Genomic DNA, 23,210 nt, shown 5'->3' with positions numbered 1-23,210 from the left:
GATATTGTAATATGTCCAGATTCCTGCTGGACATCGCCCCTTGGACCCACAACAGAGGCTTCAATTCAACCTGTCCATGTCTGCATTTAATATACAGCCCTGCAAGCCTACTCCTTTACCTCTGCCTTTCTATGAGCGGTATAATCACTTCTCCCATCATCCCAGGTGAATCAGAAACCATGCCCTGCAGACTTAGTCCTCAAACACACCCCAGCATCAGCTCTCACCTCCAGTCTCTCTCCACTGAATCCATCCTCTCCATTCTGCCAGATCCATCATTCTATAATGCAAGTCTAGCCATGTCATTCCCCTACTAAAATCCTTCAAAGGGACCCTATCACCTCAAAGCAAACTTTAATCTCTTTAGTAAGGCACAGGTGAGGTCCCCCAGGACCTGGCCTCTACATAGATACCTTCCTCCAGCCTCGTTTCTCACTACTTCCCACCTGGAAATTTGCATTCTATTAATACTCAAGAGCCGTGCACATTCCCCACTGATCATGCTTTGGCCCTTGCTCAAGGTCTCTCTAGACCTGGAAAAGCATTCCGACCTTGCTTTGTATCCTTTTAGGTTCAGCTGGGGTTTCCTCTCTCAGAAGTCCTCCTTTGTCCCCCAGATAGCATCACCTGGCCCTCATTCTGGCTCCCACCGCACCCAGCGCTCTCCATAATCTTATACCTCACTGTATTTCAGTGACTTGATTTTGCGAGTGTTTTCTACTGGATTGCCGTTCATCAGGAATAAGACCTCTTACTTTTCTGCCCCTGGCACCTCGAATCTTTCCTAGCACACAGAAAGGGCATTATTCATAAACGCTTGTTGAAGGAAGTTAAAGAAACTGCACTGCAACTCCGTTTCTCGGTTTCTTAACAGTTAAAAGGTGATAAAGACCAAGCTTGGTGGCTGACACCTGTAATCCCAACACTTAGGAAGGCAGGTGGATCACTTTGAACTCAGGAGTTCAAATGAGAACAACCTGGGCAACATGGCGAAACCTGTCTCTACCAAAAAAAAAAAAAGATATAAAAATTAGCCAGGCATGGTGGCTCCTGCCCGTGGTCCCAGCTACTGGGAGGCTGAGATGGGAGGACCGCTTGAGTCTGGGAAGAGGAGGTTGCAGTGAGCCGAGATCGCACCACTGAACTCCAGAAAAAAAAAAAAAAAAAAACACAGTGATAAGAACACCTGCTTCTCTATACCTCAAGGGGCAGAAAAACCACAGGGGTTAGGATAAAGTAGGGGTGGCTCTCCCGACAACTGTACCATTGAGAGGCGCTGCAAGCAAGTGAAGACATTAACCACTGCCTCCCACATTCTGGAACTGTGGGGCTGCTTCCAGAGCCCAGGTCCAGAAAAGACAGCTGCTCTGCTGCGTGGAGTCTTTTCAGGGGCTTTTCAGGATTTCCAGAGAGAAGCCCCTATGAAATTGGATGTCTTAGAAAAAAAAGATGCTTTGGGGCAAGTTCAAAATATTATTACTGACTACGAAAAATATCATCATGCTGACAAGCAAACCGCAGCGAAGAAACAGAAATTGATCTTCTCTTCCGTGATCAAGCTGACAAACGTGTTTGAATCTTCTTCGGTCAGGGTGCAAAAATGCAACAGCCCCTTCTCTGACGAAAAAGCCACTGCTCCTATGCCTCCCGTGAGCAGGTTCACAGGAGCAGCGGGCTGAATGAACGAATAAGTGGATCCCCAGTGCAGGTTCTTATTTACCCATTTCAGACATGTAGACACAAGAGCAAAACAAAGTGTTCCACTTCTTGCTCTCAATTTCAATTAACAATAACAAAGGTAACAGTCTCAGAGGAGACTCAAGGCAGAAGCTGAAACAAATAACAGTCAACTCCTAGATATCTGTGCTAATCAGGGAGAGAAAGACATGCATAACTTAAAAGAACATCGACCAAAAAAAAAAAAAACCCTAATGTTTACTTTGAGCAATGCTTCAATTGCTGTCCCCACTACAACCTATTTGAGTTACTAATGCTACTTTACTTGGCTTCCCTCCCTAAAGATGAGTAAAATCAGAGCAGAAAGCCCTCTTTCAAACAACCCCCTCCTCCCAGCCTCTCTCTCTGCATCTGGCTCAGAAACATCACAGAGCCACAGTGGGCACAGGCAGCTCCCGATCAGTGCCCCACTTGCCTTTGCATCCTTGGTATCCAGCACAGCATCCGCTTCATTGTAGATGTTCGACAGTTGTCTGTGTAATGGACCTGAAATGATTCCTAACAGAAATATGCTCAAGTTCCAGTGTGGGCATTAACTCCTGACTAATCTCTTATTCCCTCATGTGAAAACTAAGGAAAGTAGATTAGGTCATCTCTGGTGTCTCTTGGGTACTACCGGGTTGCACACATCCAGGGAGCCTCCACTCACATCTGTGCTCTAGGGGTTGTCATTGACATGGAGCACAGTGGCAGTGGTCCCCTTGGAGCTGTGCAATTGGCACACTAGCTCGGTCTCCTCTAGTTTTATAAATCAGTTAAAAAAAAAAAAACCATAAGCAATCTTGGATGATTAAGTATGCATGACCTATTTCAATCAAATATTTGCTAAGTGCCTGGTAACCTACATCGAGCAGAAATATTTACCTACAAAGACCTTACTAACGAGTTGCAGAATTCAGGCGCATCATGTAAAGGTAACTAACATAAGGAGTCAGAATATGATCAATGCCAAATGAATGGGACAGCCTATACATGCTACGAGTCATAAAGGAAAAGAGATCTCTGTGACTGGGGAGGCCAAACTTAGAAGGGGCCTGAGGCCCTAGCCCAGCAACAGATATCCAGTCTTGTCAGAAGCCACCTGTCCTTGTGCATGGGTGTCACAGTAAATCACCATTGTAGTCTGAGAATATCAACTAACTTGAATATTATTTCTTGCTTTTCAGAGCAGCAGGGGAAGAAGCAAAATACCTCTGTGAACAACACACTGAGTAAATGCCAGGTGGCTACACAGATTTAGGCCAAGCTCAGGTTGTTATGTGGGACACATGCACCTGTCAATAGGAGGCTTGTATGTATTTTCGTATTTTCAAATGCTTTATTTGAACTATTCAAACAGACACCTCCAAATGAAACCTATACAAATAGAGGAATGCTACAGTGACCATAATCCCCCAAAGTCTACAACCCCCAAGTCATTTCAAAATGTCTGGGGAAGGCTTTATGATTTTCTGGCAGCAAGTTTATTTTCCTGATCATGTTTTGCTCCAGCTCGTGCAGAATGACGCTGCGTTCCCTGAGCACATATGCACCGACAGATGGTGTAAGAGGACTAGAATCACACTAACTCCTTCAGAGGAGCCAGTTTGGAATGCAAATTTAATTTTCAGAGAAGTTAAACAAGGCAAATCGAGAACTGACTCTGAAATCTGAAAGCCATACAAAGAATGAAATGTATTCCTAGGAAGCCAAACTATGTCCCCTACGTGCGTATTACACACATAGCAGTATACCAAACACTACAATTGTTTCGTCGCCCACCTTTCAACTACAGGGTGGCAGGCATCCTATTCATCTACAGATACACAGCATCTGGCACAATCGGTGCTTGGTGAACATGTGAAATGAAAATTAAATTAATGGGTATATAAATGATAGCACAAATGTGGGAAGTACTGTGCTCTGTGATGGTCGTTGTCTGAGCAAACACCAATCTGAATATGAATACAGAGTGTTGCACACAAACAGGACCTCTTCGGAGTATCACCTCTAAAGAAATAGCTAACCAGTGCTACACAGAACAGAGAACAGCCAGGTGGAATGCCAAACACCAGTACTTTGCTTCTCTCTCCTTCTCTGAGGCCAGGCTGCTCAGCACATGTCAAATTAACCACAGGGAAAAAAAAACAGCTGCTAAGATCTCTTTTTCCAAACCACCCACCTCTCACTTACTGCTGGCCCCGTTTCTAAAAGGAGCAAAGAAAAAGAAAGCTTTGTCCTTGCAATAAACAAGAGAGTTACAGAAGCCCTCTCCAGATCCTTCACCAATCCATCTAATGGGTTCAGCTCAAAAACAGGGAGAAGTGTGGTCCAGCATGAACTTGACCTAACATGAACCATTCAGAAACGAGCCAAAGGTAATCAGAGGACTGGTTCTGATAAAATCAGAACATAAGGGTGTAGAGGTTACAAACTCTTGACAGTTTTGCTTTTCAGAACAATATATTGCAAAGAATGTAGGACGCAATCGAAAAACCCAAGTGCTAATCCTGTCTCTGTCACTAACAAAGGGAATGACCCTGGGCAAGTTACTTTGCCTTGCTGAGCCTGTTTTCTCATCTGTGAAATGATGCAGTTAACCCTAAACACCCCTTCCAGCTCCATGAGACCCCCCACCAACCTAACGCACCAAAAGTCAATGGCTATCAAGTTGTATGCATTCTGTAATTGTTACTGATGTATTATTATTATTATTATTGCTATTTATTATTAGTCTTTCTATGTAATAAAGACACAAAGCAAAGAAGGACAAATTAAAGAGCCTCCACTTAATTATTTGGCCATTATTATTAATTGCCCTCTTGCTCACAATCTCCCTTTGTGATAGAAAGGACAGGTTCTTATATTCCCATTTGGGAGATAAAGAGTTTAAATCGGGGTGGGCACAGTGGCTCACACCTGTAATCCAAGCATTTTGGGAGGCCGAAGCAGGTGGATCACCTGAGGTCAGGGGTTCGAGACTAGCCTGATCAACATGGTAAAACCGTGTCTCTACTAAAATTACAAAAATTAGCCGGACGTGGTGGCAGGTGCCTGTAATCCCAGACTCAGGAGGCTGAGGCAGGAGAATCGCTTCAACCCAGGAGGTGGAGGTTGCAGTGAGCTGAGATCGCACCATTGTATTCCTGCCTGGGGGAGAGAGCAAGACTCCATCTCAAAAAAAAAAAAAAAAGTTTAACTCATATCCAGAGATCACAAATTGTGCTGTCAACAACATAGTGCTATAGAGAGATAATCCAATTATAATCACAGACGTAAATTTCTGGGAGAAAGTTTGATGTTAAAAGGCCTCATCAGAGACACTTACTTTAGCTCGTTGGTTTCCATGCCCTGGGCAATGGCCGTGATGATTCCGCCGTGGTCTCCCCATGTGTAGTAGTGAGGTCCAGGAAGTGCCTGAAGAGGAAAAATCCATGGTGACACCACTGCTGTGGAGGTAATTGTGCAGAAACCATGTACACATGCCCACAGGCATGCACACACGTGCACATAGACATAACAGCAATGACAACCACTTGAAAACAATTTTTCCGTTTACAGAAGACATTGACATCCATTATCTCATCTGTTCCACACAATCCTAGGGACAGGTGGAGCAAGTTCTAGTATCTCAATTTTTTTCCCAAATGAAGAAACACGGGCTTAATATTAAAATGGTAGACTGTGAACAGCAGAGGTAGGACTCAAATCCAAATCTATGACTCCCACCAACCCTTGATTAAAAATTAAGTAACTGGGGTTTCAGTTCTACTATGACAGTATTAGCCCTCTATAGCCCATCCTTCCTGCTAATTACAGCTGAAAACTCTGGACAAAAAACAACTACCAGTGGATGCTGAAAAGTAAACGAAAGCAAGCCGCTTGTGGAGATTTAAAACCTAGAGAAGCTACACACACAAGTCATGAATATCCTGGTAAAGCTTTGCCCGAAGGAAAAGTCCCAGTCATGGGGTGCACCTCAGTCTCAGTCACAGCTAAAACTGCAATAGATATTATTTCCCCCAAAGGAACCAGAGAAAGGAGCCCCTATAGGGTAGGTAAAGTGTGGATGGAATCCCATAGCAGAGAGTGTCAAAAAAGTAAATCCCCTAATTTTGTATATGAACTTACGCAAGTCGCAGCCTAACCCCTGAAGTGTACGTGCATGAAACAGACACAAACCAGTGTAACAAAGGCTTAGCATACTGAACTGAGAGTTAAACTACCACCTACAGAAAGCAAGACAGAACTCAGGGTCAGAACCTAAACAGGCTGATTACATGCTGAGACAAAAATATCAATATCCTCCAGAAGGCTTAATTTCATGAATTTCATTCATATGTGCAGAATACAAACCAAAATTACTTAACATACAGCATACAAACATATCCATAAGATGTGTCCAATTCTCAAAGGAAAAGATAGTCAAAAGGTGCCAATCCCAAGTGACCCATATATTGGAATATTTTTTTAATTTTTTATTTTTTGAGACAAATTCTCACTCTGTTGCCCAGGCTGGAGTGCAGTGGTGCAATCTCAGCTCACTGCAACCTCTGCCTCCTGGGTTCAAGTGATTCTCCTGCTTCAACCTCCCAAGTAGCTGGGATTACAGGCATGCACCACCACGCCCAGCTCATTTTTATAATTTTAGTACAGACAGGGTTTCACCATGTTGGTCAGGCTGGTCTCGAGCTCCTGACCTCAAGTGCTTCCACCTGCCTCGGCCTCCCAAAGTGCTGGGATTATAGGCATGAGCCACCATACCTGGCTGGAATTTTAAAATAGCTATTATAACCATGTCCCATGAGGGAAAGAAAAATACACGTGAAATGAATGAGAGAAAAGAATTCTCCCAGAGAAGTGGAAACAATTTTTAAAAAGAAACCAAACAAATTTTATAACAGAAAAATATAATGTCCGAAATAAGAAATTTACTGATGGGCTCAACATCAGAAAAGCAATGACAAAGGAATTAGTGAACTTCAAAATAAATATAGATCTGTAGAAATTACAGATCTATCTGTGTGTTCTAGAGAACATACAGGGGAAAAAGGATTTCAAAGAAAGAAAGATTGCCAAGGACACAAGGAACAATAACAGTAGGTCTAATATGTAACTGGAGTCCGAGAAGAACAGGAGAAAGGGATGGGAGCAGAAAAAAAATATTTGAAGAAATAATGGCTGAAAATTTCCCAAATTTGTTGAAAGATATAAATATAGATTCAAAATCAGCATCTACATAGAGAATAAACTCAAAGAAAAGCCCTCCTAGACACATCATACCAAAACTGCTGAAAACCAATGAAAAAAAAATCTCCAAAGCATCTAGAGAAAAATGGCATGTTACACACAGGAGAATGATAGCTAAAGTGAAGAGAGGTTTCTCATCAGAACCCACGGAAACAAGAAAACAGTAGACATCTTTAAAGTACTGGAAGAAAATTACTGTCAACCCAGAATTCTCTATCCAATAAACATATCCTTCAGGAATGAAGGTAAATAAAACAGAAATTTCAAAAGAGGGAAAAACAAGAGAATTCACAGCCAACAGATCTCGCTACAGGAAATGCTATAGGAATTTCTTTAGGCTATAGGGAAATTTCCCATGGGTAAACAGAGATTTTTCCAGAACGAAGAGCAAGCAAGAGAAATGGTAAATATCTGGGTAAATATTTAAGTTCTTTGAAATTCATATGATAATTTGAAGCAAAAACAAACACTGCTTTGTGGGTTTTGTAATGTGTGTTGATGTGATAAATATGAAAATAACATATAGGTGGGGGAGGAGAAAAGGGACTTGTATGGTTGAAAGGGTTCTAAATTTTACGTTAAGTGCAATTATCAACTCAAAGAAGACTATAAAAGATTAGATATGTATGTTGTAATCCTTAGAGAAGTCACTAGAAATACACATAGATAAGCCCCCCAAAAAATCTAAATAAAAGTAGAATACTTAATGTATCTAGATAATACAAAAGGAGAGAGGACAGAAGGAACAGAGGAATAATAAATAGGAGAAATGAAAAGAAAATAAATGAAATATTAGGCCTAAATTCAAATACATCAATAATTATATTAAATGTTAATGGCCTAAGCATTTCAGTTAAAAAGCAGAGCTTGGCAGAATGAGTAAAAAAGCAAGACCCTACTATATGTTGTCTAGAAGAAACACTTCAAAGAACTGGGCATGGTGGCATGTGCCTTTAAGTCCAACTATTTGGCAGGATCACTTGAACCCAGGAGTTTAAGACCAGCCTGGACAACACACAAGACCCAACTTCAAAAAAGAGAAAAAAAAAACACTTTAAATATAAAGACATATATAGGTTGAAAGCGAATGGATGTTAAAAGATGTACTATCCAGGGCTGGGCGTGGTATCTCACACCTGTAACCCCAGCACTTTGGGAGGCCAAGGTGGGTGGATCACTTGAGGTCAGGAGTTCAAGACCAACCTAACCAACATGGCGAAACCCCGTCTCTATTAGAAATACAAAAATTAGCCGGGTGTGGTGGTGAGCGCCTGAAATCCCAGCTACTCGGGAGGCTGAGGCAGGAGAATCACTTGAACCCAGGAGGTCGAGGTCTCAGTGAGCCGAGATCATACCATTGCACTCCAGCCTGGGTGACAGAGTAAGACACCAACTCAAAAAAAGATGTAATATCCAAATAGTAAACAGAAGAAGGCTACAGTAACTATTTTAATATCAGATAAAATAGATTTTAAGACACATGGCATTACAATAGATAAAGAGAGATAGTTCATAATGATAAAAGGGACAATTCATGAGAAAATATTATTATAAATGTGAATACACTTAACAACAGAGACTCAAAATGCATACCAAAATAAAGCAAAAATTGATAGAATTTAAAGGAGCAAGAGGCAATTTCAGAATCATAGTAGGAGATCTTACCATTCCTCTCTTAGGAATTTAGAGAACTAGAACCCCCAAAAATCAATATGAACACAAAAGATCTGAACAACATTATCAACCACCTTCATATAAATAATATCTACAGAACACTACCTCAAACAACTGCTTAATACATATTCCTTCCCAGTGCACGTGATATATTCAACAATATAGACCACAGGCTGGATCTCAAAATAAATCTCAACAAATCTAAAGGGACTGAAATCATACAAAGTGTCTTCTCTGACTATAGGAAATTAAATTAGAAATCAATAACAAGATATCTATGAAACCCCCAAATACCTGCAAATTAAATAACACTTTGCTAAGTAACTTATCATTCGAAGATAAAAATCAAGAGATATTTATGGATTGATGAAAATGTTCTGGAATCAGATAATGATGATGACTGAATAATACTAAAAACATATGAACTGTACACTTTAAAATGGTGAACTTTATAATATGTGAATTACATCTCAATTTTATCTGTTTTTTTATTTTTTTGAGACCCGGTCTTGCTCTGTCACCCAGGCTGGAGTGCACTGACACAATCACAGCTCACTGCAACCTTGACCTCCTGGGCTCAAGTGAGCCTCCCACCTCAGCCCCCAGAGTAACTGGGATCACAGGTATGCCCAGTTAATTTTTTTATTTTTTGTAGAGACAAAGTTTTGCTATGGTGCCTGGGCTGGTCTTGAACTCCTGGTCTCAAGTGATCCTCCTGCCTTGGTCTTCCTAAGTGCTGGGATTACAGGTATGAGCCACTGTGTGCAGCCTATATCTCAGTTTTAAAGGGGGACATTAAATATACTCTGAACTTAAAAACACTAAAAACATATCTAAATATGTGGCATATAGCTAAATTAGTACTTAAAGGAAAACTTACAGCTTTAAATGCTTACATTAGAAAAGAAGATATAAAATCAATAACCCAAGGTTATATCTTAATAAGCTACAAAAAGAACAACAAAACAAATAAGGGAAAAAATAATAATAAAGAAAAAAAGCAACAAAACAGAAAACAGACAATAGAAAATCAACAAGAGCCAAAAGCAGATTCTTTGGAAAGATCAACAGTATTGAAACACCTAAACGAACGAAAAATAGAGAAAATACACATATCACCAATATCAAGAATGAAATCATCACCAAAGATCCTACAGACATTAAAAAGATAAAGAGAATATATCATTGATAACATAAGGCCAACAAATGTCACAACTTACATGAAGGGACAAATTTCTTGAAACACACAACTCATCAAAATTGAAACAAAAAGAAGAAAATCTGAATAGCCTTGTATCAACCAGAGAAATTAAATCTCTTATCAAAAAATATTCCCAAAAAGAAAACTCAATGCCTGGACAGTTTCATTAGGGAATTACTCAAGAAAAAATAACACCAAACTTTGTCCTAAAAAAGAGGAAGAGGGGTTTACCCCTCTGCTTGTTTTATGATACTAGCCAAACACTAATATCAAAACTTTAGAAAGATTTTACAAAAAAAAACAAATTAAAGACAAGTATCTCTCACAAATAATGCAAAAATCTTTAACAAAATATTAGCAAATCAAACCTAGCTGCACATAAAAAGAATAATGCATTATGACCAAGTAGAGTTTGTCCTAGTAATTCCAGGTTGTTCTAATATTCAAGAATTAATTAATGTAATATTTAATCATCATAGTAATAGAAAAAAATCATTTTAATAAATGTAAAAATAGCATTTCACAAAATCCAGTATCTGATTATGATAAAAAAAAAAATACTCAACAACTAGTGATAATAGGGAGCTTCCCAAATGTTGATAAAGAAATCTACTGCTAACACCATAGTTAATGGTAAAAAGGTTGAATTGTTTCCCCCAGAGAGAGAACAAGGCAAGAATGCCCACTTTCACTACTTCTATTCAATACTGTATAGAGGTCCTAGCCATTGTGATAAGAAGAATGAAAGAAATCAGAAGGGAGAAAATGGAGGAAAGGAGGGAAAGAGAAGAAAGAAGGACAAGAAAGAAGAGAAAAAGGAAGAAGAGAAGAATGAGAGAATACATAAAAGACATTAAGATCAGAAAGGAAGAAATAAAACTGTCACTCTTTGCAAATGGTATGATTGCTTACATAGAATCTAAAAACCTACTAGAACTAATGAATTACCTTAGCAAGGTCACAGAATACAAGATGAATATATAAAAAATCAGTTGTATTTTTATATACTAGAGCAAAAATTAGAAAATAAAATTCCATTTACAGTAATACCACAAAAAATTAAAATACCTAGGAATAAAGCTAATAAAAGATGTACAGGACCTCTACATTGGAAACTACAAAGTACTGAGAGAAATTGAACAAGAAATGGAAAAAGATACTACATTCATGGATCAGAAGACTCAATAGTATTAACATGTCGATTCTCCTCCAAACTGATTCTATAAATTCAAGGCAATTATAATAAAAATCCCAGCAGATTCCATAGAAATTGACAAGTGATCCTGAAATGTATCAGGAAATACGAACGACCTACAATAATAAAAAAAGATTTTTAAAATAATCAAAGTTGAAGGACTTACCCTACTTGATCTCAACATTTACTATAAGGCTTTGGAAATTAAGATAATTTGGTATTAGTGAAAAGACAGACAGATTAATGGGACAGAATAAAGACCTGAAATAGACCCAATTGGCCTAAAATTGGCCCATATATGGCCAATTGATTTTCAAACAGGTACCAAGGCAATTCAATGGGAGAGAGAGAAGGGTTTTCAATAAATGGTGCTAAATCAATTAGATCTCCATATGGAAAAAATGAGTATCTACCCATATATCATACAAAAGACCTGAATCCAAAATATATTTTTAAAAAAACTCCTACAACTCAAAGAAGATAGACAACTCAATTATTAAAATTAGTTTTTAAAATTTATTTATATATTTATTGAGACAGGCTCTGATTCCATTGCCCAGGCTGGAATGCAGCAGCACAATCACAGCTCACTACACCTTCAACCACCAGGGCTCATGTGACCTTCTGACCTCAGCCTCCTAACTAGCTAGGACTACAGGCATGCACCACCATGCCTGGCTATTTTTATTTTTTGTAGAGACAAGCTTTCCCTATGTTGCCCATGGCTCCAGCAACCCTCTTACCTCAGCCGTCCGAAGTGCTGGGATTATAGGCAGAGCCACTGTGCTGGACCAACCCAATTTTTTCAAAAAGGCAAAAGATTTGGGCAGATACTTCACAACCAGATTTTAAAATGGCCAATGAGCACATGAAAAGAATCATTAATAATCACACAAATGCCAATTACAACTACAATGAGATATTATCACATGCTTATTAAAATGTCTAAAATTAAAAAGACTAATCATACCAAGTGTTGGCAAAGATGTGAAGCAATTAAAATTCTCACATACTGTTTGGTGGAAATGTAAAAGGGACAATAATTTGGCAGTTCTTTAAAAAGTTAAACATATACCCACCATGCTACCCAGCTATTCCATTCCTAAGTATTTACCCTAGAGAAATGAATAAAATATGTACATGAATGTTCATAACAGCTATATTTGTAATCAGCAAAACTGGAATGTTTATCAACAGATGAATGAATAAATAAATTATGATATATCCCTACAATGGGATACAACTAGCAAAGGAATGAACAATTGATACACAAAGCAACTTGGATGAAACCCAAAATCATCGTGATGTGTGACAGAAGCCAGGCAAAAAGAGTATATACTGTGTGAGTCCACTTATCAAAATTCTAGAAAATGCCAATGAATAACCTATTCTAGAAAATGCCAATGAATAACAGAAGCAGACAAGGACAAGACTGGAGAGTGGGATGGATTACCGAGGGGCACAAAGATACCTCGGGGAGGGTGATGGAAATGTTTGTTATCTTAATTGTGGCGACCATAATTAATTCTGATCAAACTGTACACTTTAAATATGTGCAGTGTACTGTCCCCTTATCTGCTTCAATAAATTTGTTACAGAAAAAAGCTAAAAATAAAAGAAATAAAAATTATTTTAAAAAGAAAAAAAGCACAAAAACGGAATTCTGAGGATCAGAGAATTTGCAGATGGAAATGTTTGTTATCTTAATTGTGGTGACCATAATTAATTCTGATCAAACTGTACACTTTAAATATGTGCAGTGTACTGTGCCTTCATCTGCTTCAATAAAGTTGATAAAGAAAAAAGCTAAAAATAAAAGAAATAAAAATTATTTAAAAAGAGAAAAAAGCACAAAAAAAGGAATTCTGAGGATCAGAGAATTTGCACAACTAATTAGGAGGAAAAAGAAAACCACAATTACAGTCATCAGTGCTCCAGGCAACATTCTGTCCACTACAGCCTCTTCCTCTGCCACCACCTGCTCCTGCACACAGCCCAGATTGTCCCTCTAAAGTGAAGGCTGCCCATGGGGACTCAGATGCCCACTCACACAGATAAACTCACAATCTTTTCATCCCCAAGTTAGTTTTCTGCTATGTCCCAAAATAAGGTCTCTTATGCACTGGTTGCTTCTTGGCAGGGACAAGGCACGTGTGGAGGGAGGCACTGACAGCTGCCCCGGTAATCACCAGACGATACCACTTCACTGGAGGAGGAACAAGACACTGCTTTCTACCCAGAAGGAAATCACTTGCAGATGTGCAAATCCCAGATTACACCAACAGCAGAAGGCACAAACAAACCACAGGCCTATTCGCAGAGAAGAGGATACCCCATTTCAAAGGGAGCGTCCAGCTCCACGAAAGGGGAAAGCAGCTGCTTAATCTTCCCTTGGGAGCTGCACAAGGACAACCCGAAAATTTCCATTCAAACTGTTTGCACTCTGACTACAATGGCCTTAACAATCTGCCTCATCTGAACACATATTTGCGTTCACCACATACAGTACACAGTGTCTGAGCCTCATCTCTCTCCTCGGGAGGGATGGGAAGCCCTGCCACAGTGAGAGAAGGCTTGTGACAGGCCTCTGTGAACTGCAAGGTGCCAAATGAATGTTGGTATTTTTATTACTGCTTTACATATTACCTATTCAAATATCAAGGTGAGCATGGTGCATTCCCAGTAAAGCACCACGTGGATGGGAACTATGTCTGCTAGCTGTTCTGAGAACTCCACATCACTCCCGACGTGCTGTTCCGGCTGCCCAGCCTGCGGGGCTGCTCGATGACAAGGTGCTCATCCTGTCAAGTGATCTGTTGGGTTTTACCCTGGTGGCTCCTGGCATAACTAGAGGGTCACCCCTGAAAGCAACCCCTACAGAACGAGACCAAACGCACTTCCTTGGCCTTAATCAATGGGAGGCTGGCAACAACTTTTTTTTTTTTTTACAAGTTTGGAAATTCTCTAATGCCCAAAGATGAAGATGAATTAGCATTTTGGAACTAGGGAACTAGCCCTGTCTTAGGAATTGGTATAATCAGCATCGATATTAGTTATACAACCTTAAGGCAAAAAGAGAGTCTACTTCCATAGCACAGAGTGAGACGAAAGTGCCTATACAACATAGCCCAGCAAGGACAGGCTTCATCTCAACTTCAATAATATACAAAATAATAATAATAATAGCAGCCCATTTCAGGGCTAATACCACTACGCTATAATTTGCTGATACATGCAGCATATATGCCCTGAGCCCCCACTCCATGCCAGGCACTCTTAGGTCCTAAGGATAAAGAAGTCAGTAAAACAGACATTGTCTTTGCCCTCATAGAACTCATAATCTTAGAATGTTCAGTAAAATTCACACATTTGCAAAGGTCTGTGTTTAATTTAAAGTAACTGTGGATATAAATCAGTGGCTTCAGGTACCTTTCTTTACTTTATAGTCATATCTGGCATTACTGGTCTCTGCCATGGACCATTTGTGTCCCTGAAATGCCAAGGCACAGTCTACATTCTCACACAAATGGGAATGAGGGTGGAGGGGACGGGATTGGGGGAGGGGGCTGACCTCTCGCCACCTGGCTCCAGCACTGCTAGAGATGTACACGTTTGTCTTGCTAGCCAAGTTCTTTCCCACTGAGCCTAAAATGCAAGAGAAATAATTATTTTTAATTTCAAGAATATGTCAGATAATCACCTTGCCCAGCCAGAAATTCTGCGTAGTATCTAGCAACTAAGAATGCTTTCAAACCACAAAGCGTGGTTACTGCTGGAGGTGTGGGTGATCGCTCTGCATTTGGCCTGCACATCACCAGACAGCTGAACCCCTTTTGAGAACAGGCAAGCACACTTACCAGTGGCGATGATGAGGCCTGGAGCCGACTCCTTGGACAGGATGGGCATTCTCCGGAGCTGGAGGTTGAGGAGCTGACTGAGGCGCTGAGCCAGATGAAGGGAACAGCCCTGGGAAAGCTATACAACCAAAGTTTCAGGCAGTGTCAGCACATGATACCATGCCTAGCGTTCCCTGTAAACCCTGCGGCCTGTGTGAGGGGAGTGCAGCTGACACGGGGCAAGGAGGCCTGGCCCAGGGGAAACCAGACTCACAGCCCAGCTGTCCCCACACCCCCCAGACAGAGAGGATCATCTGAACCCACATAAATGTCCCGTGGAAGAAGAGAACAATTACAACTTAAAAAGGCCTTCTGAGACTCTCAGGGAATAACAATTAGAAATCAGTGTCAACTCAAGTAGATGGGAAAGTCATCATCTCATCCTATCACTCAGAGATCCTCTCAAGTGACTCAGAACTAAAGAGAAATGAAATGATTTTGTCATATTCACTTTCTAAGTCAGAGACATATTTCAAACATGATTCCAGCAATTCTGTCATAAGAAAGACCAAGAATCAGAAGTCATAAGTCTCATGGAAAAGCTCCCCTGATGTACAGTATCAATGAGATATAAAAAGCAAAGGATTAGCACTAAATTTTTTCCTATGTATTTTACATTTGCACAAAGGTGTAGGTATACAGGGCAAGGCTTCAAGCGATTCAGTCTGGCCTCCATCACTCATGTCCAGATTTTCATAGCTCTGCAAGCAATCAGGACAACACCCTTTGCCATATGGTCACACTCAGTTCTCCTGGTCAGAAAGAGCTTGTTCAATGTTACTCAGATGTGGCCAGGGTTCTGCACAGGAGGACTATGTGCTTATGTGGTTATGGTCAGGTAAAAATGGTAGCAAGGTTTGCTGGATTATTTGCTACTTATTTTTGTCATAAAAGGATCTCTAACAAGTATCTGTCTTGCTAGAGTCTCAGTTTGACCAATGAAAACTGGAACAAATTAGGCTGGGTCTCAAAGAAATATTTATTTGCTCACTCCTCTTTCTGACTCATGCTTCTCTGCCTGCAAGGAAGTCTATTCATTGAAGAGTTTCTGTAACCTCAGGTAATCAGACTTACCCATTTCCTATACATTCCTTCCACCACCTAAACTCAGAAGAAGAAACCTATACCTAAAGCTGATGAACGACAGTTCATAAATAAACTGATTAGTCAGGGAAACAGAAAGCTGAATTTGAATGATACCATTAATTCGATTTAACTAAAGCCTGACCCCCACAGCACGCTCAAAAACACCCAAGCCCCAACTATCCCAGGATCTCACCAAGCTGCTGTAGAAGACACTATTGAGGGAAGAGGAAGTACCCAGATATTTGTCTATATCCATTTATAGGCTGCCTCTTTCCAAAATTAGATTTGATGTGGTAAGCCAAGACCCATTGCCAAATAGAGAAGAAAAACCAAGAAGTAAATTCTAAGGTAAGAGTCTCCAAAAGAATTTTCCCAAGGGCCACAGATACATTATATAGGGGAGTGTCCACATAGCCCACCATGGACAAACAAAATTCAAAAATCCAAAAGACCAAGTAATGGTCTAACTAAACAAGTAGTACTAAAAACGAATACTACTTTTTTTTTTTTTTTTCTGAGTTGCTTCTGCCCAGAAGTGGTAGCAAGACCTTGGAGCAGAGTTTGGGAACTGCAAGTGTAGCAACACAAATAGAAGTCTGCTCCATGTGATATTAATAGAATACCATGTGATCTTGTATTTTTTCAATAAATACTAGACATAGGAAACTACCACAGAGCAGGGCTCTTTCCTTTATATTAAAAAGCAAAAGAAGATTAAAGCATCAATACCTCACAATTGATTTTCTCTCCATATCCCGTGAAGGCTGGAGCCTGAAGAAACTCCCAGGTTCCCCCTTTGTCAAAGGTGATGACCGATCTCATGTTCTCCTCATTCATAGAACCATTAATCAGAGTAGCAATGTAGACTCCTTGCAATCCTTCCACTCGGTGGAAGTCAGCAAATGGTTCATTTGCAAAATACCTACAATATGAAAATAAACAGCTATGAACCTGAATTGGTATTTGCTTGTTATTGTAAATAACATAAAATTTGACCATTTAAAAGTATACAATTTTGTGGCATTAAGCACATTCACAATGTTGTGCAACTATCATTACTATCTAGTTCCAGAACATTTCATCATTCCAAAAGGAAACCTCATACCCACTGGCAGTCACTCTCCATTTCCTCTTCCCTTCCCAAGCCCTGGAAACCACTCATCTGCTCCATGTGTTTATGAATTGGCCTATCTAGACATTTCATATAAATGGAATCTGCAATATGTGGTCTTTTGTATCTGGTTACTTTCACTTAGCATAATGCTTTCAAGGTTCATCCACATTATAGCACATTGTTAGAACTTCATTCCTTTTTTTTTGGAGACAGTCTTACTGCTGCCCAGGCAGGAGTGCAGTGGTGCAATCATGGCTCACTGCAGCCTCAACCTCCCAGACTCAGATGATCCTCAATGATCCTCACACCTCAGCCTCCCAAGTAGCTGGGACTACAGGTGTGTGCCACTATGCCCAGCTAATTTTTTTTATTTTTTGGTAGAGATGGGGTTTCGCCATGTTGCCGAGGCTGGTCTTGAACTCCTCAGCTCAAGTGATGCACCTGCCTTGGCCTCCCAAAGTGCTGGGATTACAGGCATGAGCCACCATGTCCAGCCAGATAATCTGCTATTTTAAAAAATTTGTTTCTTTTCAACTTTTAGGGTCAAAAGGCTTGTCTGACCAACAATTCCTAACAGGGGGTTTAGAATGATGAATATAACATACAAAAGTTGACGAAAGAGTCACATCTATTACATCACTAACGAAATTGACTCCAAATCCTCCAGTGAGCCTTCAAAAACAGAAATCATTAAGTCAGACTTGCAAGACATTAATAACAGTGCTGAGGCTTAAAATTCAACCCAATCTGTAGGAACCTAGCTCAGGGTTACACAGCCCCTCTCCAGGTACTTACAACCTAATTATCCAACACCCTGATCAGATAGAAGCCCACAGGGTTTTCTGTCAGGAAGCTCAGCAGAACCTGTCGATTCTTTCCTAAAGAAACTGTACATATAGCAAGGATGGCTCTAGAAAGCTTGGGGTTATATTCTTAAGAGAATATGGACGGCATGAACCCGGGACGCGGAGCTTGCAGTGAGCCGAGATCGCGCCACTGCACTCCAACCAGCCTGGGCGACAGAGCGAGACTCCGTCTCAAAAAAAAAAAAAGAGAGAGAGAATATGGGTTTCCCAGGCTTTATCTACCATGCGGATACCCTGATGCCACAGCCACAGGGAAGTGGTTTTGCGCTAAAATGATACACGCATTACAAATAGAGCGGATCTCTGAGAAATTGTAACCAGGGTTCATAGGTGGCTGTTAAGACTGGAAGCTTGGCCGGGCATGGTGGCTCACACCTGTAATCCCAGCACTTTGGGAGGCTGAAGGGGGCAGATCACAAGGTCAAGAGATCGAGACCATCCTGGCCAACATAGTGAAACCCCATCTCTATTAATAATACAAAAATTAGCTGGGCATGGTGGCACGTGCCTGTAGTCCCAGCTACTTGGGAGGCTGAGGCAGGAGAATCGCTTGAACCCGGGAGGCGGAGGTTGCAGTGAGCTGAGATCGTGCCACTGCACTCCAGCCTGGTGACAGAGCGAGACTCCAACTCAAAAAAAAAAAAAAAGAAAAAGAAAAAAGACTGGAAGCTTGCCCTTTACTTCAGGGGTTCTAAGCCACCGGCTACACAATAAAGCCGAGAAACGCTGTCCTCCATCAACCATCTCCACACAATCTCTTCAGCTGGATGACTGCCCTGCCACCTCAGACAGAAAGACCCAAACAACAACCTCTGAGGCAGGAAAAGGAACACTAGGAGCCCCACCAAAGCAGCTTCAGGCTGAGGGACTGAGCAGAGTGCCGAATGAAATGCTGGAGTTGAGACCAAATTCTCTGACATGTGGTTTCCTTAGGTCTAGTTCAGTTATTTTTCAGGGGCTTCCTTAGGAACCAGCTGAAGGTCTCGATTCCTCCTTCTCTGCTGACCTCTGCTCTACCTCTCTGAGGGTTATCATCATAAACCTGTCATCCCACTGGTTATGGGCTTCTTCTAGATATCTGGGAGGCCTGAGTTTCTCTCATTTAGATGAGCCCTGTTTCTTTCCCGAGTCGGATTCCTGGAGTTTTATCTTTTACTTCTAAGCAGAAGCCTGTCTTCCTGTACCTCACATGCTCCTTCACCAGAAGTCCCAGCCCATCCTTTCCTTTCCCCCACTTGACCTGCCCTGCAACAATCTGCCCCACCCTAAGTACTTTCTCTGAGGGTCTACTTTCTTCCATTTTATCCTCACTGGCCCTCCCCAGGGCACTTCTCCCCTTCTTCCCAGAGTGCCCTGGGCCAAGGCTTACCAGGAAGCTCACCAGGTCCCCTATAGCCCCACTCAGTGCAGAATCCATGCCCTGGCAATACCCCCACCAACTGGGCCCATGCCCCTCCCTAAGGTGACCCACGGGGCTGACATCTCCTCAGCACATTAGTTCCTCCAAAGCATCCAACATCTAGCTAGTGCTTTCCATGAGACTCCCACCTGGCACATCCCACCAGGGCCAGGGTCATTCCCTAGAAAGAGCTCTTTCTCCATGTCTCTGAGTAAATCAGAAGCAGTTCCCAGACACCACTCTTTCCTATTCAGTTCAAAGACTTGCTCATTTCACATAGCAGTTTACTCTAAACCAGCCTGCCCACACGATGTGCTAATTCACCTTTATCCCATTTCACCTGGCTGAGATTGAGATGCAGATGACAAAACATCACTCAACTGAGTATAATGGAACCTCTCTAGTCCTCAGATAAAATCTGAGAACAATGAGAAAACTGAGTGGGACGTTGGCCTATGACTCTTGACGTGAATCTATTTCCAGTTTCTTCACTGGACTGTGCGCTCAGGCAAGGAGGGGAGGCCTTCATGACTCTGTAAAGGGCCATCGCTCTGGCTTCTGGCTCATACTCTGTCCCAGCATGAAACATTCACCCTGAATATCTGACAAATGAGGAAGACGAGAAAATATTTAGCAAGCTGTGACTTTTCCATTCCACAGCCAGGGGCTTTCAATGGTGAAAAAAGAAAAATTAAAGAGTCAGTGAAAGGTCTGAGGGATAGTGATTCATTATTTTAATTATTTTTAAAAGGAGAATATTATTCACCCATTAAAATGAATGAGGCACTGATATATGGTACTCACGGATGAACCTTGAAAACATTAGGCTAAGTGAAAGAAGCCAGACACAGAAGGTCACATATTATTGTATGATTCCATTTATATGAAACATCCTGTAAAATAGGGAAAAATCCACAGACACAGAAATCAGACTGACGGCTGCCAGGGGCTGGGAGAAGGGGACGGTGGAGAGAAGCGGCTTAATGGGCATGGGGTTCTCTTTTGGAGAAATGAGAAGGCCATGAAATTAAACAGAGGTGGCGGTGGCACAACATTGTAAATGTATTGAATGCCACTGAATTGCCCACTTTAAAACAGTTAAGCTGATGTTATATACATTTCACCTCAATAAATAATTTTTTTTTTTTGAGACAGAGTCTCGCTCTGTCGCCCAGGCTGAAGTGCAGTAGCACGATCTTGGCTCACTGCATCCTCTACCTCCCAGGTTCAAGCATTTCTCCTGCCTCAGCCTCCCAAGTAGCTGGGACTATAGGTACGTGCCACCACGCCCAGCTAATTTTTGTATTTTTAGTAGAGATGGGCTTTCACCACATTAGCCAAGATGGTCTCGATCTCCTAACCTCGTGATCTACCCATCTTGGCCTCCCAAAGTGCTGGGTTTACAGGCGTGAGCCACCATGCCCGGCCAGTAAATAATTTTTTCAATAAAAAACGACAAGAACCAAACAGAAGGAGGTAGGGTCCGCCACTGACCAAACCAGGACAAGCTGAGCATCAAAATGTATCATGGCAGGAATGGTTTATAACACATTAAATAATAATTAATCCATGAGTCTATGTCAGGGGAGGAAAGGAATAAAAGATGACAGCACCTCCAAAAGAGAAGAAACAGGAAGTGGAAAAGCACTGTCAGAGGCCAGGTAGAAGGCTGGGCACATGGATATCCAATAGGCCTCTCCAACCAGGTAAGTCCCAAACCAAGCTGGTGATCTCCCCCCAATATTGCCCCTGCCCCAGCTCTCCCTGACTCCCTGTGTGGCCATCTCTTTAAAGGCAGCTCGGGTGAAGCAGTAGCAGTCCCCTGGCTCCTCCTCCTTTCGTACCCCTCGTCCCATCTATCAACAAATCCCATTGGCTCTACTTTCAAAATATATTTAGGGTCTGACCATTTCCAGCGTCTCTAGTGTGACCACCCTGGGTCCAGCCAACATCCATCCCTACTGGCCTGTATCTCTGCAATACTTTCACAACTAGTCTTCCTGTTCCCACCTTTGTCCCCTACAGTAGTCACAGTAGTCAAATTCCCACACAGCATTGAGGATAACTCCTGTAAAAGATAAGCCACATGAGTGCTCACTTATAATTATTTAGAACACTATCCATTTATGTGTTATATTCTTTTCATTATATAATGCAATTCACAGATTTTAACGGAAAAAAATTGAAAGGTTAAATCAGATCATGTCCATCTCCTGGTCTAAACCTTCCATCTCATTTCGAAGGAAAAGACAGGATTGAGTGTGTTGGCTCATATCTGTAATCCCAGCACTTTGGGAGTCCAAGGCGGGCAGATCACTTGAGGTCAGGAGTTTGAGATCAGCCTGGCCAACATGGTGCTGTCTCTACTAAAAATATAAAAATTAGCCTGGCCTGGTGGTGCACACCTGTAATCCCAGCTACTTTTGAGGCTAAGGCAGGAGAATCACTTGAACCCAGGAAGCGGCGGTTGCAGTGACCCAAGATTGCACCACTGCACTCCAGCCTGGGCGACAGAGCGAGACTCCATCTCAAAAACAAACAAACAAACAAAAACAACAAAAAAGAAAAAAACAAAGTTCTTCACAAGCCCCTGAAGGCCCTATAGGATCTGAGCCCTGCTCTCTTAGGTCCTGTTTCTTCCTTCTCTCTCCCTCTCTGCAGCCCTTCCAGCCACCCTGGCCTCCTCCCTGCTCCTAAAACACCAGTGCAGTCCAGCCTCAGAGTCACTGTGCTTCCTGTCTGCCCTGCTTGCAGCGCTACTCCCCCAGGGGTCTGCCTGGTTCCTTCCCTCATGTAATTCAGGCACCTGCTTAAATGTCCCCCTCCTGAAGCAGCCAATAGAATAAAAGAACACCGTTGCAAATCCCCATCCCCTGATCTTGCTTTATTCTTCTTTTCAACATGTTACCAGGCAGATCACATATTTGCTTATATTCTATCTTCCCCAACTAGAATACAAACTCCATGGAAGAGGGACTTTGTTCTGATATTTTATTGCTTCATACATTACTTTGTGGCTATACCTAGAACACTGTCTGGCAGAGAGCAGCAGCATACCTGTGAATAAACTGACAACGGAATGAATTGCCCAGAAACAGTGGGCACAGGGGCATGCCCTCAGACCTGGTTGTCATGGCTGGAGAGCCAGACCCCACCCCAGACCAGTCAGCTTCACACGGGAGACTCTTTCCAAGAGCAGAGGGGACTCTAACCACAGCCACACAGGTCACACAAGTCTGGTTGTCAAACGACAAATCAGAATAAATGGCCCTGAACGGATCTTAAGAACCAATTCATCCCTCCCAAACCCCCAACTCCTCCACCACCCCTTGATGGGTGTGGTGCTCCGAGACCGCCCACTGCTGGACTACAAAACAGCTCTAAACACATGATTTACAGACAAAGGATCAATGACGTTGGTGCCTTTCTTTACAAAACACCGTCCGATTATCTCTTAAAAAGAGTAATGACATCAATTAACCTGATCCACTGGCCGCATATGCCAGCTCTCACTGACTGATATTTACCAAGTGCTGTTTTTCACTGCTCAGAAACCACAAAACCAGAAAACTGAACAAAAGCAGCTCAAGGAAGTGATTAACACAGTAGCTCGGACCCTAAATGTTACCTAGAGCTGTAGTTCTCAGACTTGGCTGCACGTAAGAATCACCTAGGGCGCTTCTTAAGATCCTCATAACCTGGCCACACCCCAAACCCATCCCATGGTGATCTCTGCGCACGTGAGCCAGGCATCGGGTTTCCGAAAGCTCCCCGGGTGTATCCACATGGGCAGCTAATGTTGAAAACCACAGA

General features: G+C 41.8%; 1 protein-coding gene across 1 annotated transcript in view; it reads right to left on the bottom strand.

The window, feature by feature from the left end:
- SORL1 (sortilin related receptor 1) overlaps positions 1-23,210 on the bottom strand; it is a 181,450-nt gene that overhangs the window by 96,167 nt on the left and 62,073 nt on the right. The window contains exons 9-12 of the mRNA NM_003105.6: positions 16,748-16,940; positions 14,894-15,011; positions 14,608-14,681; positions 5,045-5,133 (exon numbers count right to left, since the gene is read on the bottom strand). Coding sequence (NP_003096.2) covers positions 5,045-5,133; positions 14,608-14,681; positions 14,894-15,011; positions 16,748-16,940 — 474 coding nt within the window. The remainder of the gene's footprint in view (positions 1-5,044; positions 5,134-14,607; positions 14,682-14,893; positions 15,012-16,747; positions 16,941-23,210) is intronic.

This window comes from Homo sapiens, chromosome 11 (genome assembly GCF_000001405.40).
Source record: "Homo sapiens chromosome 11, GRCh38.p14 Primary Assembly".
Classification (NCBI taxonomy): Eukaryota; Metazoa; Chordata; class Mammalia; order Primates; family Hominidae; genus Homo; species Homo sapiens.
The sequence above is the reverse complement of the archived record's forward strand: the minus strand, read 5'-3'. Positions and strand labels throughout refer to the sequence as shown.